This window comes from Homo sapiens, chromosome 7, assembly GCF_000001405.40.
Source record: "Homo sapiens chromosome 7, GRCh38.p14 Primary Assembly".
Lineage (NCBI taxonomy): Eukaryota > Metazoa > Chordata > Mammalia > Primates > Hominidae > Homo > Homo sapiens.
The window spans coordinates 137,913,185-137,933,505 of record NC_000007.14 but is presented as its reverse complement, the minus strand read 5'-3'; the positions used below and the strand labels follow the sequence as shown (position 1 = coordinate 137,933,505).

Below are 20,321 nucleotides of genomic sequence, written 5' to 3'. Positions count from 1 at the left end.
AGCAGAGTTAGAGAACGTTTATTATTGGTTATCCAGGGGATGTTCATGAAAACATTCATTAGTGCTGCTCAGAAGAAAGAAAACAGAGTGTCAGCAGAGTGCGCCAACCTGGGCAACTTCCATAGGAAAGCCTGGCCAATCAAAGAGAGCGTTGCCTCGGGATAGAATGGGATTCCAGAGCTTTAGTGGCCAGCACAGCAGATCGGGACTTGACCTTGTAGTTCAGGGAACAAAACTGTGGCTTGGAAATGCAGGGACTGTGGGTTTACCTCTTGCATTTGCGTGTTACATTCTGTTATTTATTTCTCTTTTTGTTAACTTAGTTTTGTCTTCAAAGGATCTCTGTCAAACAGTTGTAGAATAGTCACCATCAGGCAACCAGGAAATTTGTCCTTGGGGAGCTACTTAAGCAATCAGATGCTGACTTAGATTGTTGTATAATCAGGAAGTCTGGTTCTAATCTTAGCCTTGCCACTGTTCTGCTCCTTGCTGCCCAGAGTGTGGTCTGTGGAGTCACAGCGTTACCTGGGAGCTGATGAAAAATGCAGAATCTCGGGCCTGCTTAGACCTGTGAGTCAGAAGCGACGGCTTAGGAGCCCCAGGTAATTTATCTGCACATAAAACTTTGAGCACTGACCTAAGTGGTAAACTCTGGCAGGGCATGGGCATTTTCTAGTTTCTTATTTATTATTTTGTATCCCCAGCGTCTGTCTGAAGTTTAACACACAGTAGCTGCAAAATCCTTGAATCTTCCTCTTACCTTGGGCATATTTGAACTTGTAGGAACTTTGTAAGCTTCTAGGGACTTAACTGTAAAGTGGCGTAGGGAGAGGACTGTTGAGTGGAAATGGAGCCAGTGATTGAGAAACTGAGGTGAGCATAGAAGGACTGGTGGTGTGAGTTTTTTGTTGTTGTTGTTGTTGTTGTTTATTTTTTGTAGAGATGGGGTCTTGCCATGTTGCCCAGGCTGGCCTTGAACTCCTAGGCTCAAGCCATTTGCCTACCTCTGCCTCCCAAAGTGTGGGGATTACAGGTGTGAGCCACTGCGCCCGGCCTAGGTGGTAGTTTTAATATAGACGTCTTTAACTTCCTAAGTCAAAGTCTCTGAGGGTGGATCATCAAATTTGTATGTTTTTATTTATTTATGCCTTTAAACCACATTCTGAAAACAAAACTTTTGTGTTTTTTAAAGTTCTCTTTATGTTAAGGAATTTTTTTTACAATGTTACATACAATAAAAATGTGAGGGTTCCTCAAGAGGAAATGGATAAATACAATGGAATAGAATTCAGATGTTTAAATCAATGAAACAGGGCTACGTGTATAAACATGAATAAATCTAAAAAAATGTTTTTGATAAAAGAAAATTGCAGAGGAAATATGAGATATGGTACCATTTACTTAACGTTTTAAAGAATCCTATGTGTAATGGATACATGCATATGTAGTAAAAGGATAAAGACCTGGATGGGAAAGATAAACACCAAGTCTGGCTAATGGTTAACTTTGAGAGGGATGAAGGGAATGGATGGGAGCTTTAACAGTCCTTCATGTTTTATTTCTTGAGAAAAAGAAAGAAAAAGCAACAAAAGAAAGATTACAGCAGCAACCATGTAAAAATAAGATTTTTAAATTTTGTATTCAAATTTTTTTAAATTGTATTTATTTATTTTTAAGACAGAGTCTCACTCTGTTACCCAGGCTGGAGTGCAGTAGTGTGATCTCGGCTCACTGCAACCTCTGCCTTCTAGGTTCAAGTGATTCTCCTGCCTCAGCCTCCTGAGTAGCTCGGACTATAGGTGTGCACCACCACCCCCAGCTAAGTTTTGTATTTTTAGTAGAGATGGAGTTTCACCATGTTGGCCAGGCCAGCCTCGAACTCCTGACCTCAAGCGATCCACCTTCCTCGGCCTCCCAGAGTTCTGGGATTACAGACATGAGCCACCAAGCAAGCCTGGCCAGTTTTTTTTTTTTTTTTTTTTTTGAGACGGAGTCTCGCTCAGTCACCCAGACTGAAGTACAGTGGAGTGATCCTGGCTCACTGCAAGCTCCGCCTCCTGGGTTCACCCCATTCTGCTGCCTCAGCCTCCTGAGTAGCTGGGACTACAGGTGCCCACCACCATGCCTGGCTAATTTTTTGTATTTTTAGCAGAGATAGAGTTTCACCATGTTAGCCAGGATGGTCTCGATCTCCTGACCTCATGATCCGCCCATCTCAGCCTCCCAAAGTGCTGGGATTACAGGCGTGAACCACCGTGCTTGGCCTTTTCTTTAAAGACAGGTTCTCACTCCATCACCTGGGCTGGAGTGCAATGGTACAATCATGGTTCACTATAGTCTTGACCTACTGGGCTCAAGGAATCCTCCTTCCTCACCCTCCTGAGTAGCTAGGACTACAGGCGTGCACCACCATGCCTGGCTAATTTTTGTATTTTTTGTAGAGACTGTGTCTCACTATGTTGCCCAGGCTGGTTTAGAATTCCTGGGCTCAACTGATCCTCTTGCCTCAGCCTCCCAAAGTACTGAGATTACAGGCATGAGCCACCTTGCCCAGCCCAGTTTCTTTTTTTTTTTTTTTAAAAGGAATGACTACATAATTGTTCATGATATGTATAATCTTTCTGAATGCTTACAATATTTCATTATGAAATGACTAACCCAAACTTCCCTGGTAATTGTGATGCAGGCAGTTGGCATGTGGCCTTAAATACTCCTAAGGACCTTCCAGTTTGAAATGTATTTGTACTCAGAGAGCTCTCTCCCTGACCCTGTCTCTTGTTCTCATAGACAATCATGCCTATAGGACATGCCCAAGTCCTGTAGCTTCCCTGCATTCTGTCCTGATGAAATGCCATGTCCCGTGTTTGTGATGTCAGTGAATTTCACCGTTCTAACTCTTTAGGGACTGAGCCTGCAGAAGCTTCCTCTCTGCTGTTCGCTTTTCTTCTTTATTAAAGGAAGCATCCTGTTCTACAACTACCCTGATCTTAGAGCGCCAGCTCTAGGGACATCTCCCATCTTCCCTTCTGGTGTTCATTTTCATAACGCCTTCATTGACACTTCAGTTTGGTGGTGGGACTTAGGTGTCCAAGTGAATCCCAAGAATTGTATTGCTTACCCCAAGCCTCATTATTTGCCATCGTTCTCTTATTGCTGTGTCTGCTTTCTTAACTTCCTTTCTATACTAGAAGTGTCCCTAAAGTTTAATCAGTAAGGATGACACCCATTGGTCTGTGATTCAGAGAATGTTAAGAAGGCAGAAATCTCTAATAGCTAGTGCCAAAGTGGGCTTTAAAATTTCATTTTATTGGCCGGGCACAGTGGCTCACGCCTGTAATCCCAGCACTTTGGGAGGCCAAGACGGGCGGATCACGAGGTCAGGAGATTGAGACCATCCTGGCTAACATGGTGAAACCCTGTCTCTACTACAAATACAAAACAAAAATTAGCCAGACGTGGTGGCGGGTGCCTGTAGTCCCAGCTACTCAGGAGGCTGAGACAGGAGAATGGCGGGAACCTGGGAGGCGGAGCTTGCAGTGGAGATCGCGCCATTGCACTCCAGCCTGGGCGACAGAGCAAGACTCCGTCTCAAAAAAAAAATTATTTTAATTAATTAATTAATTTATTTATTTATTTTGAGATGGAGTCTTGCACTGTTGCCCGGGCTGGAGTGCAGTGGCTCGATCTTGGCTCACTGCAAGCTCTGCCTCCTAGGTTCAAGCGATTCTCCTGCCTCAGCCTCCCGAGTAGCTGGGATTACAGGTGCCTGCCACCACACCCAGCTAATTTTTTTTTTTTTGTATATTTAGTAAAGACAGGGTTTCACTATGTTGGCCAGGCTGGTCTCAAACTCCTGACCTTGTGATCCGCCCACCTTGGCCTCCCAAAGTCCTGGGATTACAAGCATGAGCCACCGTGCCTGGCCCTATTTTATATTATTATTATTATTTCTAATATAGTCAATAGCAGTGATTCTAAACCAGGGGTGACTTTTTCACCTACAGACATTTGGGCAGTGTCTGGAAATATTTTTGGTTTCACAACTGGGGGAGTGCTACCGGCATCTAGTGGGTGGAGGCCGGGAATGCTGCTAAATATCCTACAATGCACAAAACAATGCCCCACCCCTGCCCTTCACAACGAATTATCCAGTCCAAAATGTTATTAGTGCCAGGTTGAGAAACCCTGCTCTGAAGATCCTCATACCATGAATATAGACCTATCAAGGAGGGAGAGTGGATGGGGCTGCAGCTCCTTTAGAGTGGTACAGTGTCACAGGGGATATGGGAATCCCGGGGAATTTATATGGGCTAGTCCTATATTATGTCCAAAGCATGGTGGGGGCTGGAAAGTTCATGGTATTAGAGATGAAGGATGGGAGCATATTAAGGAAAAACCAGAGAGGAACAAAGTCTAGCCCATGGGGAGACTAGAGAGAAGCCACCTCTAATGTTTTTGAGCATGGCACCTTAGTGTAAACTGCACCTTTGTGCTATAGAAACAGAGGATTGCTTATTTAAACATATTATCAGTGCAAAATGTGGTAGGTCATGATAGCAAGGACCCCCAGTGAATCATGCCCCCCGCACTGTCCACACTCGTCTGCATTGTGACTCTGCCATTCCTCTCATCAAGCAGTGGAGTCTGTTTTCCCGCCCCATGGGTGTGAGCTGGTCTTGTCCCTTGCCTTGACCAAAAGAATGTGGAGGGTGTAATGATGCGTGATGTCTGGGGCCACTCAGCTTTGGTTTTTCTCCCTCATGGAAGATTTCTGCCATCATGGGAGGAAGCCCGGCCTGATCTTTCCTTTTGAGAAAGAGGCCCAAGTGTCCAGGGGTCCCAGCCCAGCACACTCCCAGCCAGCCTTCCCACTAATGTGCTGTGTCAGGGAACACAGATGAAATCAGCTCACCCACCCAGCCCAACCCACGGAGGAGGGAGAAGTAATATATTAATATTATGGTTACCTTCAGCCACTAAACATTGGGGTGGTTTGCTACACAGCACGAGCTAACTGGACATTGTGTGTGTAGAAGGGACTTCATATCGAGCAGTGGATGAGGTATTTGGTATGTGCGTAGGGTATCTGTCACATTATGGTTAAGAGAAACTGAGTTCTTCCTCCTTTGTTTCTTGTAGCACTTCTCAGAACTTCTGGATGAGTTTTCCCAGAACGTCTTGGGTCAGCTCCTGAATGATCCTTTCCTCTCAGAGAAGAGTGTGTCAATGGAGGTGGAACCTTCCCCGACGTCCCCGGCGCCTCTCATCCAGGCTGAGCACAGCTACTCCCTGTGCGAGGAGCCTCGGGCCCAGTCGCCCTTCACCCACATTACCACCAGTGACAGCTTCAATGACGGTAAACTCAGAGGAGGAGGAAGACCTGGACCTTAGCGCCTTTGGTTCTGAGCTCTTGAGGGTGTGGAGTGTGTATTATATTAAAGAGGGTGTCAGCACCCTTATTAGTGAGATACCTACAGTGTGTACGGCCTTGTGCTTGGGCTGTGGGGAAAAGCAAAGAGGCCCAGGACCCATTTCTCTACACTGCCCAGGTTCCCTTGGAACTTGCTATAACTGAAGGATGGTCATTACTCTCTTTCACCCTATGGCTTCAGCAGCAGAGCAGCCTTTTGCAAATCAGGCCGGCCTATCTGGCTGGTCATTCCTACCAGTACAGTAAGTCTCTTGTTTCAAGGGGTCATGCCATTTTTTTTTTTTTTTCTGAGAAAGAACTATTCCTCTATAGAAGCTTCTTGGGCATCCTCTCAACCCAATTCCATCATGTTCTATTGACCCCATGTCCCCCACCCCAGATCTTAGTGGACATTCCTAGACTTTCTTGTTGATTACCCTTTCATGCCCATCATCAATGCCATGAGTGTGGTATTTGTTGAAGGTCTAGTTTTTCTGGCCTTAGAGATGTTAAGATGTTTTGACCATTACTCTACAGCCCTTAATTGGTAAAAGCTGTATCTTGTTCCAAACTCTCCAAGGCATATATATCTTTTAAGTGTAATTTTCTTTTCTTTTCTTTTCTTCTTTTCTTTTTCTCTCTCCCTTCCTCCTTCCTTTCCCCTCCCTCCCTTGCTTCCCTTCCCTTCCCTTCCTTCCCTCCTTCCCTCCCTTCCTTCTCTCTTTTCTTTCTTCTTTTTCTCTCTCCCTTCCTCTTTCCCTCCCTCTCGCTCCCTCCCTGCCTCCCTTCCCCTCCCACCCTTCCTTCCTTCCTTCCTCCTTTCCTTTCCTTTCCGTTCTGTTCCGTTCCGTTCCCTCCCTTCCTTCCTTCTTTCTTTATTTTCTTTCCTTCCTCCCTTTCCTTCCTTCCTCACTCCCTTCTTTCCTTCTTTCTTTTTTAGACAGGGTCTTGCTCTGTCATCCAGGCTACAGTTCAGTGGTATGATCTCAGCTCACTGTAGCCTTGACCTCCTGGGCTCTCATGTAGTCATTCAGCCTCAGCCTCCCAAGTTGCTGGGACTACAGGCATGTGCCACTACACCTGGCTAATTTTTTTATTTTTATTTTTTTGTAGAAATGGGGGTCTCACTATGTTGCCCAGGCTGGTTTTGAACTCCTGGGCTGAAGTGGTCTTTCCTCCACAGCGTCCCCAAGTGCTAGGATTATAGGCATGAGCCACCATGCCCAGGTTTAAATTTAATTTTCTATGTTTTGTTTTCCTAGAGGGATAGCCAGCTATTTTAGTACTTTAAATTTTAAAAACTCTATTTCCTATTCCCAGTCCAGCATATGCCTTCTTCTTTACAGGAGGATGACATGGTGAGGAATACTCACTAACTTGACCTTCTTGGTGTTGGTGTTCACCTCTTGTTCTTATACCACTGTACATATGGCAGCATCTTTTGAAGGTGGCTGCACCTATCAACCCATCATGTAGGGATTTGTCCTAATGCTGTCCCTCCCCTTGCCCGCTACCCACCGACAGGCCCTGGTGTGTGATGTTCCCCTCCCTGTGTCTATGTGTTCTCATTGTTCAACTCCCACTTAGGAGTGAGAACATGCGGGTCCTGTTCTGTTCCTGTGTTAGTTTGCTGAGGATGATGGTTTCCAGCGTCATCCATGCCCCTGCAAAGGACATGCACTCATTCTTTTTTATGGCTGTATAGTATTCCATGGTGTATATGTGTTACATTTTCTTTATCCAGTCTATCATTGGTGGGCATTTGGGTTGGTTCCAAGTCTTTTCTATTGTAAATAGTGCTGCAATAAACATACGCGTGCATGTGTCTTTATAGCAGCATGATTTATAATCCTTTGGGTATATACCCAGTAATGGGATTGCTGGGTCAAATGGTATTTCTGGTTCTAGATCCTTAAGGAATCGCCACACTGTCTTCCACAATGGTTGAACTAATTTACACTCCCACCAACAGTGTAAAAGTGTTCCTGTTTCTCCGCATCCTCGCCAGCATCTGTTGTTTCCAGACTTTTTAATGATCACCATTCTAAATGGCATGAGATGCCCTTTAATTGTGAGGCCAAAGCATTCACCATTCAGTTCCCCCAGCTGGGGCTTTGTTCTATTTATAGCTCTTAGGCTGTGACAGGCCGTGCTGGTAATTTGCTGAGAACAGGTACAGTGGGTCAGATATATTTTACAAAGGGTTTCTGATCCACAGTTCAGCTTTTTTGAAGTACCAGTGTCTTATCTGAGTAAAAGTCACTTTCCTAGGCCAGCAAAAGCAAGACAACAAACACGGGATACTACTCATTTAAGATGTGTGAAATCAGAGTGAGGCAGTGTGGATGAGTGGATGGGGAACTTGTTCAGCAAAGCTTTGTCTGGATCTATTTTTCTGAGTTGTGTGGATGGGCAGATGTTTGGGAACAGAATTATTTTATTCATGTGAACCCCAGTTTGCATCCCCCTTAAGGTGGCGATCTGTAGGGTGGGGGAATCAATCCACAAGTATTCCTTCCAAACCCAAGTGCTCTGTTAGAGCAGATAACCACCCTGATGGAGAAGGATGGTTATTTTTAGGCAACACATAAATATGTAGCATGTATAGACAGCTATATACATTACATTTTATATTCTTTATCTGCTGCATGGTGATAATAGCTTAAGCAAAACTAGGAGTCCTTGTGTTCAGTGATAGATGGGGAATTAATATTTCATTATACCTGGGAAAGCCAGTGATTCAGCTCTCACTGTCCAATTGTACTTAGATTAAATACAGTTCTTCTGCAATTGCTTCTAAGCCTGGAAAAAGAGTGATGACACACAGTTAAGTGGAAACTCCCTCCTAATTTATTAGAGTTTTTCTCCTTTTTTCTCCCTCTGCCTCCTGCTTCCCCTCTCTCCTTCTCCTTCCCACTAGAACTCTTCTCTTTCCCTCTTCCTCCTTTGCCCTTTTCCTCCTAACTTTCCCTTCCTCCCTCCATCCTCCACCTGAACCCCAGGACAACTGAAAAGGGCACACACAGATGTTCTTATCCTATCATTCTATCACAGACTTCAGATGAACTGTGGACCCCTAAAACTGTATACAAAAATGTGGGCTATCTACATTTGTTAATTTTTTGAGAGTTATTATATCATTTCTTAGATTCTCAAAAGAGTTTGTGACCAAAAAAAGTTAAAAATAACTGTTCTAAGATTCCACAGGAATCATCTGTCTCAGGGGGACTTTGTAGACTTCTGAAACACTAGAGCTAAGGAACTTCATGTGGCCCAGCCACCACAGGAGCCAACCCTAGAAATGTAGGTGCAGCCTTCAAAACCCCCAGAAAGACATCCTGCATCCAGCTCAGCCATTTCTCCCTGTGATTAAGGCTGTGAACCAGATGCTAAGCAAGGTTTTCTGTTCTACAAAAAAGGCAACAACAACAAGAAAACACCAAAAAAAAAGGAAGAAGGAAGAAGAAAAAAAACATGTCATGAGGTTAAGAGAGAAACGCAGAAGCATCCCAGCAAAATATTTATGATACTTTTATGCTTTGAGAAACAAAAGCTTGTATTTGAATGACCAAGTCTTGTACCTCACCACATGGAGGTTGTCTTTATGAGTTACTATATTTCAGTCATGTTCCTTTGTGTAATTCAGTTGGGATGCTAGGTATGCATTTGCATTGTCCTTTAATTTTGGTGTTCTTCCTAAAGAAGAAACTAGTGCTGGATGAGGGCTGTTCAGAGAGAACCAGACATGGCCCCTATCCTCTAAGATGATACAAGAACAGAGCTAAAGATTATATAGACTATCAACAGACCTTAGCATAAAATAGGCTAATACAGAAGTGGTCTAATACTACCTTTGCATCACAAATGTAGTCAAGGGTGGAACAAAGGACCGTGACTATGGCTGTCCCAGGTCTACACAGGGTGGGCCAGGAACATGGATAAGAATCATCTTCCTCCTGATGAATTTAGTAGGGCTTTCAGTGGCAAGGGATGGCTGGGTAGGCTGGTTCACTACAGATACCTTAAATTTATGGAGCTGTGTTCTCAGGTGGGAATGAACACAGTAGTCTGTGAGGTAAAGGTGAGCGGATATTGCTGGAGCAAAGTCACATGGGGTAAGTGGGACAGGCTGGAGAAGGGCAAGGACTAGGGTTTTATCTCTGCCTGATGGGAAGCAGGGACTGAGAAACATAGGATCACATTTTTTGGAGCTTAGATGAAACACAGAAGATCTTATGGCTGCCATGCGAGAACAGGGAAGGTGTGCACTGATATAGTTATCCAGGGAGAAGTGGAAAGGTATATAACATGATGGCAAAGAAAAAATGGGTTTTGAAATGATTTGATGAAACCTGCAGCAGGAAAAGCACAGGATCGAATATGCTGAGGAAGGGGCAGAGATGAGTCAGAGATGACTTAGGTTTTTGCTTTGCAGTGTTGAAGAGATCTTGATGTTGACATGGTCCATAGAAGTGAGACTTGAAAATCACAGAAATGAGGTGCATAACGGTGTCTTCATCACATATAGCGTGAGCTGATGACAAGAACATCACTCTGAATCATCGTAGAGTAGCCAGACTCAGGGGTAGAAGAGAAAAGTATGTGTATCTACTGAGTCACTGGGTCCTCTGTCATGCACGGCCAAAGAGAGAACCTGACAGTGATTGGGGAGGACAGGCAGAGGAACAGTTGACCTCTTCCATCTGAAGCTTGGGTTTGTAATACACGCTATTTTGCTATTCCTCCGCTTTTTTGGTGTTACCTTTTACTTTTTTCCAAACAGATAAAAACAATAGTGATGTTTCCCCTTTTTATTTTTTGAAAAAAGTAAAATAATGACTTCTCTGCGTAGCCATTGCAGTGCTAGATTAGTATAAGAAAGCAATGTTCACATTAATCCAGCGATTACAGTTACTTTGGATATTCATACATGAGAGTCATAACTTCTCCATTGAAGAAAAAAGGATGTAGTAAATATTTTCTGTTTCTACTACTATCACCACCTCTTCATGCCATTCAATACTGAAAGTTATTTCAGGGTTAAGATACTCAGGAACGGGCCAGGGGGAGATAGGCCTGTAACTTCCATTGGAGCATGTAGTGGGCTGTAGTTTAATATGATTCTGACACATTTAACTGAATTCTTGCCCCTTTCCCCAGCTTCCAGAGCCTAGCCATTATATTTTTCCTTTAAGAGATTTTTACATAAAAAAATTGTTCAAGATTTGCCAACTCCTTTGAAAATTCTCAAAGGGCAAACAAATGAAATGCTAAAGGATTTAGATGAGGCATATTTATTTAATTTATAAAATTTTCTTTTCACTTTAGATATGTTACATAAATAGTAAATGGATGTACGGTCCGCCCTCCCTGTGCTTGGGTTTTGCATCCTATGAATACTGTATTTTCAATCCACGTTTATTTGAAAAAAATCTGCTTGTGAGTGGACCCGCATGGTTCAAAACCCGTGTTGTTCAAGGACCAACTGCGTATGTGTTTTTCTCATGTAAGTGGTAGTACGTCATCTGATTTCCCTTTTTAAGAATAAATGCCCATTCTCTCTATGTTCACATGTATATATATATATTGTGTGTGTGTGTGTGTGTGTGTATATATATATGTGTGTATATATATATGTGTGTATATATATATATATACGTATATATATATATATATATACATATATATATATATATATATATATATATATACATATATATATATAGTAAACCAGAAAGTATCTGATACAGGTCCCAATCAATTTAGGAGTTTATTTTGCCAAGGTTAAAGACATACCCAGAACAAATAAACACAGAATCACAGAAAAAATCTGTGGTCTGTGCCTTTCTCCAAAGATGACTTTGAGGACTTGAGTATTTAAAGGAAAAGTGGCTGAATGGAAAAGAGGGAGGGTACGGTAATCCATATGTTGCAAGAGAGAAAAGGAGCAGGTAGGGGAATAGTCCATTACACATTCATCTTGTGCTCAGTAAATCAACACTTTTCATAAGATAAGATGTATGTTGAGCTGGGTGCTCATGACTGTGATCCCAGCACTTTGGGTGGCTGAGGCAGGAGGATTACTGGAGCCCAGGAGTTTGAGACCAGCCTGGGCAGCAACACAGTGAGACCTCATCTCTATCAAAAAAAAAAAAAAAATAGCTGGGTGAGGTGACGCACGCCTGTAGTCCCAACTTCTTGGGAGGCTGAGGCGGCAGGATCGCTTGGGCCTGGGAGGTCAAGGCTGCAGTGACAGAGCAAGAAAAGAAAAAGGTGGACATAGAGTGTCTACCTGTGGAGATCTTTAACCTTTCATATATAACTGTGCTTAGGAATAAAAGGAAAGGCAGTTTCTTGGATGACTCAGCTTTCAGCTTGATTTTTCCCTTTGGCATAGTGGATTGGGGTCATGAATTTTTATTTTCCTTTCATAATATATCAAGATAATGCCAACTCCCAATTTAGGGTTTTTTTTTCTTTCTTAGCAATCAGTATCCATTCAATGCGCTTAGCTACGTGGCACCTATGGAAATGATGGAAGATCTGCATTTTGATGTTGCTATTACCTTGGCTTTGAGTTCATGTCTTTTTCAGTCTCTTTGATGATTTGCCTATCTTGATGATTTGATAACTTGGCATCTAGCCCCATTGCTCATGGCTGCACCATTTTGTCTTTGGATGTAAAGGACTTGCTTCTCACCACGATCAGTGGCTTGTTTTTATTTTCTTGCTGACAGTTAAGTGGTGAAGCTGAGGAAATGTGCCAGTCGAGTTTGACCTTTGACAGGAAGCTGTTTAAATCAGCTGATATGGGGGTTGTTCTTCTTACTCTCCAAACTGTGGACTGCTAAACTTTACCAGGGATGTTTTTCGTCTGAAATGACATTTAAAAGACTTATAAACACAATGCGGAAAGAACATTTTTATTTTTTCCACTCGGTATCTCAGCTTCAAGTTTTAGAAATTAGAGGGTGTGGAGTGTCTACTGACTCTTATGTTTGTGGTTTAGCCAATAACTAAGACATCCAAGGATAATTCCAGTTCTAAGCCAGGGTGGCCCTACTGATCTTTTTGCCAATAAAGTAAAACTACAAAAGTAAGGACATGGAGAAACATTGTGATACATATTCTGCTCCTTCTCCTCTACTCTGTCCTTCCTTAACCCTCACTTCATAGATTACATTTGTCATTTTGTTTTCTGTGATTTGATATTTATTTCCATTGAGTAAGAGAGTACAAGCCAACCTCCAGTAGTTCAGAATGAAAGCTGTTTTCTTTCATTTCAGCTACCACTGGAATGCTGTTCTCACCAAACTACTTACTGGCTGACTTTCTTCATATGAAGTCATTTCGTATTTTGTGATGTAACTAGTAGGTCTGATCAGCCAATCTACAAACATTTATTGATATGATCCATAGTTGATGGTTTAGAGAATTATTTTGGAAATGAATGTAGTCATTTCATTGTAATAGATTCTAATGTAATGGGTTTAATTTATTTTTCATACATTCGGCTATATTGTATCAGCTAGCTCTGTTGCGGCATAACAAACCACCCCCAAACTCAGTCACTCAGTCATTTATTATCGTAATCTACCTGTCTGTTTCTGTGTGGGGGTCAGCAGAGTGGTTCTGCTAGTTTCAGCTAGATTCACTGGCATCTCTAAGGTCAGCTAATAGTTGGCTGGTCTTGACTAAGCTCCTCTGGAGGTGACTGTTCTATGTGGCTGTCATCCTTCTCCTGAGATCACTAGATTATCCTAGCTCATTCTTCTCATGCTGATGGCAAAACTACAGCAACATTAGTTCCATCCTGCAAGCACATTCCAAAACTCCGCTTGTATTAAAAAGCTCACATACCAATGGTACATCAAGCCACAGGACCAAGCTGTGGGTGGGGATCAGCCCAAGGTGGGAGGTCACTGCAAAATTCTAAGGCAAAAGACATGGATGGAGGGAGGAGGAAGACCTGGAGCCAGGAATGCAACTTATTTACATAATAAGGGTCTCATTGACTCTTACTGAGTCAAGGGCTTCTAAACACCCCCATGGGCAATTACAACCTCTACCCAATAATTACCATCCTAAGCCATGAAGTGGAGCAGGCCATGTCCCTGTGTGTTCATCCAAAGACAATAGTGTCCCAAGGTTGGAAATCTAGAAGTACCATAAAATTTAAAGAAAAAGTCATTCATGTTCTGAACGATTATCCAGAGATGCTTACTATTTGGCATATTTCTTTTGATGCTTTTCTATCACTTTCTTCTTTAATAGTTATAGATTTTTATCTAGAGTTTTTGTCTTAATATTTCATTATAAGTCTTTTCTTTGTAATTAAAAAGGCTGTATACATGTAATATTAATGTCTGCATAAATATTCCATTGTATGGATGCACCATAATTGACTTAACCTTTCTCTTGCTTTTTAATGTTTTGGTTATTTTCAGTGTTTTGTCATCATAAACAATGCCCTAGTGAGCATTATTTATGCATAATCTTTATCCACATAGAAAGTTTTCTTGTTAATGGGAAGATTACTGGCCAGAGTGCAGAGATCTGGGTTCTGCCACTAATTTGCCATGTGACCTAGGCCCAGGTGTCATTTTCCTCATCTAGAAATGATAGGCTGGGTGTGGTGGCTCACACCTGTAATCCCAGCACTTTGGGAGGCTGAGGCGGGTGGGTCACCTGAGGTCAGGAGTTTGAGACCAGCCTAGCCAACATGGTGAAACCCCGTCTCTACTAAAAATACAAAACTTAGCCAGGTTTGGTGGCACACGCCTGTAATCTCAGCTACTTGGGAGGCTGAGGCAGGAGAATCGCTTGAACCCAGGAGGTGGAGGTTGCAGTGAGCCGAGATCACACCACTGCACTCCAGCCTGGGTGATAGAACAAGACTGTCTCAAAAAAAAAAAAAAAAGATATCTTTGAGCTCAATGGCCTTAAATCTCTTTATAACTCTAAAGCATCTTTCAGGATCAAGGACTAAATTGCTGTATTGGAATGGAAGCATGAAAGCAGCGCCTGTTGTTTGCCCTCAAAAAAGCTCAGGGGAGGAGAGGCCGCTTCCTTGGGCTTCTCTCTTGGAAATGTACAGTTGTCCTTGAGAGAGAAGGTTTCCTTTTATAGTTCAAGTACCATCACTTGCCCTGTGGTTTCCATTCCCTGAGGCAGCACTGATGATATTTGTATGTTTGTAAAGAGGGCTATAGGACACTGGGCATTAAGAATATTAAATGGTCTTGACTTGTTTTACGAATGTGCACACTTTGAGAATGGCCTCACTAGATTGGAATAACTGATTCTATCTATCACCCATCTTCATTTTGTTTTTTGTATTCACTTTTTTTTTTAACTTTTGCCTCTTCTTTTGTTTGCCTTGTGAATTAAGTTTCATCACAGTTGCCTTCACTGCACAGTCAAGGGATCTGGCCTTATCTCACAATTTCCTGGTAATTGTGTGCGACCTTTTTCTCAGGGATGCTTCCTTACCGTCCATTTCAGCCTGTACTGAGGCTATATTTCATCCTACCGTCTTTCTTCCAGCCTTTGCCAGGGATAAATATTACTCAGTGTGGGCAGGCTTTAAGTGTTGACTTCAAAAAGCAAAAGCATGGCTGTTCACGGTGGCTCACACCTGTAATCCCAGCACTTTGGGAGGCCGATCACCTGAGGTCAGGAGTTCAAGACCAGCCTGGTCAACATGACAAAACCCCGTCTCTACTAAAAATATAAAAATTAGCTGGGCGTCGTGGCGTGTACCTGTAATTCCAGCTACTCAGGAGGCTGAGGCAGGAGAATCGCTTGAATCCGGGAGGCGGAGTTTGCAGCGAGCCGAGATGGTGCCACTGCACTCCAGCCTGGGTGACAGAGCAAGAATGTCTCAAAACAAAACAAAAAGCAAAAGCATCACCATGTCATTGCCGAATGGAAAAAATGGGATCTATGCGGTCTCTGTCTCTCCAGCCCTTCCCTAACTGTCCTAAGCGGGTGTTCTTTGCAGCGGACATTGTCTTCTAGCTCCTAAGCTCCTTTGGGGAGAGTCAACGGAATCTTTTGGCTCGTGGTCCAGTTGCTCCATCTCTGGGCTGAGCTGGGGCACGGTCTGAGTCCAGTACAGAGTGGTCTCCCTCCTCTGGCCGCCATCAGAGAGCCCTTTGTTCCCCCGCCCTCCCCTTCCACCAGGATGTGGCGCACACCCCATGAAGGATGGAAATCCCCGTCACACCATAGCACTCAGCAGCCCCACTCTAAAAGCAAAACATCTTCCACCACCTGCCCATCCTGTCTTTATTTCACCTTGGGAAATAAATTGAGGCTGGGATAATTCATCAATTATAAACTGGATTTAAGGGGGAAATCATTCCTCAAATATGAACCTAACATTTTTGTGCTTTAAAGAAGTCACTTATGAAACATAATTTTAATAATCGTAGATTTTAGTTCTTAGTTTCTGTGTCTACCCTTCCCTTCTTCTTAGCGGTTCTAAATGATTGTACCTTTTCATAAGAAAACTGGAGTCACATTCTTGAATGTAAAATAAATTTATAATGTGAACGACTTTGCTCTCCTGACAGTCATGGGTCACTAAGTATGTGAAATGTGGTGTATGTGTGTAAGCATTTTGAGAAAGCAAAGGAGCGTGTCTTTGCTTTATTTTAGCCTCATTTTAGTAAAACTGGTATCAGCTAAGGAACGTTGCCTTTGGCTTGCTTTGTCTTGTTCTGTGGCTGTTTCCAACCCTCTGGTCGTTTCCTTTCCTTCCCTCCTCCCGGCTTTTCCAGGCAGTGCTGAGCGCTAGCTCCAAAGTAACTTGTTAAGAAATACAAATTCTTATTCTTTTAGACTCTGAGAAGAATGTGCATTAAGTGGCAGAGGCACTCTGTCTGTTCCGTCTTGTCTCTCGGTTGTTAGCTATCTCCAGGCCTGGTGATAATCAGGAAAGACAAGACCCAGACTCACCAAGATGCAGCTGTTTTCTCAGGAAGAGTATTTTGTCCATTTCAGCAAAGGGCAGATGGTTATTACAAACCAAAGTCTCCCAAAGGGCTAAGCAGAGTCTCTGAAAGTCTAAGTTAGGTTTAAGGCTAGGTGGGATCACAGTGAAAACAGAAGAGGACAAAAACAAACAAAAAAATGGAGTGAGAAGAAAAAATATCAAAAAACCAAATAACTTTCCTTTGGAGAGAAGGAGAGAGAGACCTACTCACCATGTTCTCTCATCTTCTCCCGTTGGTTACCAACCATTTGCTTGCTTCTCTCTCTCTCTCTGTCGCTCTCGCTGTCACTCGCTCTCGCTCTCGCTCTCACTCTCACTCTCACTCTTGCTTTCTCTCGCTCCCCCTCCCCCTCCCTTCCCTTTCTCTCTCTTTCTTTCTTGACAGGGTCTCACTCTGTTGCCCAGGCTCTGGAGTACAATGATGTGATCACAGCTCACTGAAGCCTCGACTTCCTGGTTTAAGCAATCCTCCTGCCTCAGCCTCCCAAGTAGCTGGGACCACAGATGCTCACCACTGCACCTAGCTAGTTAAAAATTTTTTTTTGTAGAGACAGAGTCTTGCATTGTAGCCCAGGTTGGTGTTGAACTCATGGGCTCAAGCAATTCTCTTGCCTTGGCATCCCAAAGTGCTGGGATTACTTGCGTGAGCCACTGTGCCCGGCTGCTTCTTTCTTTCATGTTTTTAAATGTGCTTATTTATCTATTTTTGAATAGATAATACATTTACATGATTTGACAACCAAAAAGAGTAGCTCATTACATATTCAAAATCCTCCCTCCTATTCTATTCCCCATCAACCCAGGTTTCTTCCTGCCTTTCTCAGGAAGCCAAGTTTCTTTCTTTTCTATGGATTCCTTCCAGAGTTTCTTTAGGCATACTCACATGCAAGCGAATACAAGTATAGATTCTTTCTTTGCTGTTCATATCTATCAATCTTTTCCCTCACATATTTCATTTTCTTTTATTCTACTTTCAATCATCCTTCACTGAGCTTTTTTGGGGAGAAAGACTAGTGGTCGCTTGTTTTGCTTATGCCTGATGCCCTGAACAAGTTCACATGTGTGCTTGTCTTTTTTCCTGCAGATGAGGTGGAAAGTGAGAAATGGTACCTGTCTACAGACTTCCCTTCAACATCCATCAAGACAGAGCCAGTTACAGACGAACCACCCCCAGGACTCGTTCCGTCTGTCACTCTGACCATCACAGCCATCTCCACCCCGTTGGAAAAGGAGGAACCTCCTCTGGAAATGAACACTGGGGTATGCTCAATTTTCGTCTGTTTAAACAGGTTGGATTAAAAGATACAGATAGATCCTCATTCTCCAATAAGGTGTTTAATCTTTTTGGAGTTAGTGGCTGTGTACATTTAAGGACATGCAACTTCATATGTGTGTATATACATATGTATACATTTAATAAGGGTATGTTGATTTGGTGCCAACTTCCTTTAAAGCCATTGTTCGGAAAAAATTAGTAGCTAAGCTGATTTCATTCTCTTTTTGATTACTGTTACAAAATAAAAAACACAGAAAATATCTATGGTAAAAAAAATTTCTCTATGGCACTGATTTTTAAGCAGTGGAAAGGGAGTGATTGAAGTGGTGATGTAATCCATGGCTTACAGTGCATGGCTACTGGGAATGTGAGCTCCTGTGTAATATTTTACTTTCCTAGTGAGATGCTGAGTTGTCCTTACTCAAGTCAGGAATGTCCCACGTATTGATTCATATAATAATATGAATAATATTAACAATATTAATAACATTATAATAATAGTAATAGTAATAATAACACCTATTATTGTGTTACCCGTGGAAAGCATAAGAAATCAGGATTTTTTCCTTACTAGATTCCATGCCTACCGCAAGTAGAATTTAATTCTACTCTACCTTCTTTCTGGATATTTCCAGTGTCTGGCCATGGACCAGCATTGTATTTGTACATCTTCTTGCAAGTGTTGGAAGCCTGTCTTAGCTTCCCTTAAGTTCAAAGCTTCAGGTTATAAACAACAACTTCATTAACATTCCTTAAGTCAGATTTCTTGTGAGCAAGATAGAATGTCTATCTGCAGCCGGGCACGGTGGCTCATGCCTATAATCCCAGCACTTTGGGAGGCGGAAGCTGCAGTGAGCCGAGATCGAGGCACTGCACTCCAGCTTGGGCAACAGAGCAAGACTCTGTCTCAAGAAATAAAAAAAAAGAAAGAAAGAAAAAAAGATGTAGTGTCTACCTGTTCAGAATATGGTAACACAGAATCAGTAGACTCATTAAAGTGTCACTGCTTACTCCCTTGTCAGTCCATCTGTGTAGATGATGAAGGGTTGTAGACAGAGGCCTCTGCAAGTGTGCTAGGATTCCTTTCTCAGTAGCTACCTGAGTCTCTTTATTAGGCTGGGCTCTCTGGTCTATATTAGTCTCCTTGCTCCACAGAATTTTAGTTACTTTATTTATTACTTTTTTTTTTGAAACAGAAGTCTCATTCTGTCACCCAAGCTGGAGTGCAGTGGCATGATGTCAGCCCACTGCAACCTCCGCCTCCCGGGTTCAGTGATTCTTGTGCCTCAGCCTCCCAGGTAGCTGGGATTACAGGCACCAGCCACCACGCCTGGCTAATTTTTGTATTTTTAGTAGAGATGGGGTTTTACCATGTTGGCCACGCTGGTCTCGAACTCCTGACCTCAAGTGACCCGCCCACCTCAGCGTCCCAAAGTGTTGGGATTACAGGCGTGAGCCACATGCCCGGCCTAGTTGAATTATTGTAAAGTATGTAACTAGCAAAGCTCAGAGGCATGGCCTTGCTCCTGTGTATGGGCCAGATAACTTTTCTCCTTTCCCTACCAGGATTTTCGTGATTAGATACCATCAGTCATTAGGAAGCCTTAATAATAACATCATTAATATTAATTATTAATAATTATATTAATTGTATTATAACATTATTAATTATTAATATTAATAAAGTTATATATAAGAGAAAGGATGTGGCTTGGTGCACAGTCCCTACCCCAGGGCAAGCTGGTGGAGGCCTTTGACTCTTTAAAATTTAGTTCCCATTTTCCATGGTGATTGACTCGATTTAAGTGCATTGTGGCTATATGTAATTTACAGGCTGCTTTACGTTGCAGGCAGGGAAAACTCCCAGGCTGGTGTGAGGCTGAACTGGGATAAGAGACCCCCTGGCCCCTCCTTATTCTGCTAAGGTCACCACCTCTTAGAAGGTCTCTTATTTTCTTTCAGTGATCAAATGCACAGTTACGCTCTACAACTAAATTCTGTAGTCTTGGGAATCCTCACCAGTATCAACTATAAGTTGCTTTTTAAAGCCCCCAAAGTGGAGTGAGGATAGGGGGAGTGGAAGCAGTGTTTGGTTCTTACTTTACCCAAACTATGTATAAAGAATAAAGTTAGCAGAATGATGCCACAAAAAAAAAAGTACCAGAATATTTTGTAATAAAATGCCTTTATAGTACTATAAAAACATAGAAAAGAATATTGATATAGTTTTGGGCTTGAGCATTTGGCTTTCAACTTTAGAGTTCTGAGTGTTTTTCTTTTTCTTTTTTTTTCTTTTTTCTTTTTTTTTTTTTTTGAGATAGGGTCTCACTCTGTTACCTAGGCTGGAGTGCAATGGTATGATCACAGCTCGCTGCAGCCTCAAATTCCTGGGTTCAAGTGATTCTCCTGCCTCAGCCTCCCAAGTAGCTGGGACTGCAGGTGCACGCCATCACAACTGGCTAATTTTTGTATTTTTTTGGGGAGACGTTGTCTCACTATGTTACCCAGGGTGGTCTCAAGGAAGTTCTGAAGGTCCTGTCAGCTGTAATGCCAAGTTTGGCAATGAGAAAAAGGTTAAGAACTAAAATGACTCCCTGTCAGGGAAGTTGCCTACACTCAGCTATTCTCCAGGATAG

General features: G+C 42.6%; 1 protein-coding gene across 3 annotated transcripts in view, besides 2 other annotated features; it reads left to right on the top strand.

The window, feature by feature from the left end:
* The window catches only part of CREB3L2 (cAMP responsive element binding protein 3 like 2), a 127,108-nt gene that overhangs the window by 68,581 nt on the left and 38,206 nt on the right, over positions 1-20,321 (top strand). For 2 of the 3 annotated variants that reach the window (NM_194071.4, NM_001253775.2), the window contains exons 2-3: positions 5,140-5,356; positions 17,494-17,669. In NM_194071.4, coding sequence (NP_919047.2) covers positions 5,140-5,356; positions 17,494-17,669 — 393 coding nt within the window. Of the gene's footprint in view, positions 1-517; positions 603-5,139; positions 5,357-17,493; positions 17,670-20,321 lie in introns of those variants that run through there. The other variant, NM_001318246.2, reaches the window with a different exon arrangement.
* Positions 1,770-1,985: a silencer, noted in NCBI's record as "fragment chr7:137616267-137616482 (GRCh37/hg19 assembly coordinates)". NCBI's record gives its function as "represses an EF-1alpha promoter that drives an FKBP-Casp9 reporter gene in an ReSE screen in K562 erythroleukemia cells {active_cell/tissue: K562}" and the evidence as "EXISTENCE:reporter gene assay evidence [ECO:0000049][PMID:32094911]".
* Positions 16,205-16,254: an enhancer, noted in NCBI's record as "active region_26730". NCBI's record gives its function as "activates an Ori minimal core promoter by ATAC-STARR-seq in GM12878 lymphoblastoid cells {active_cell/tissue: GM12878}" and the evidence as "EXISTENCE:reporter gene assay evidence [ECO:0000049][PMID:35858748]".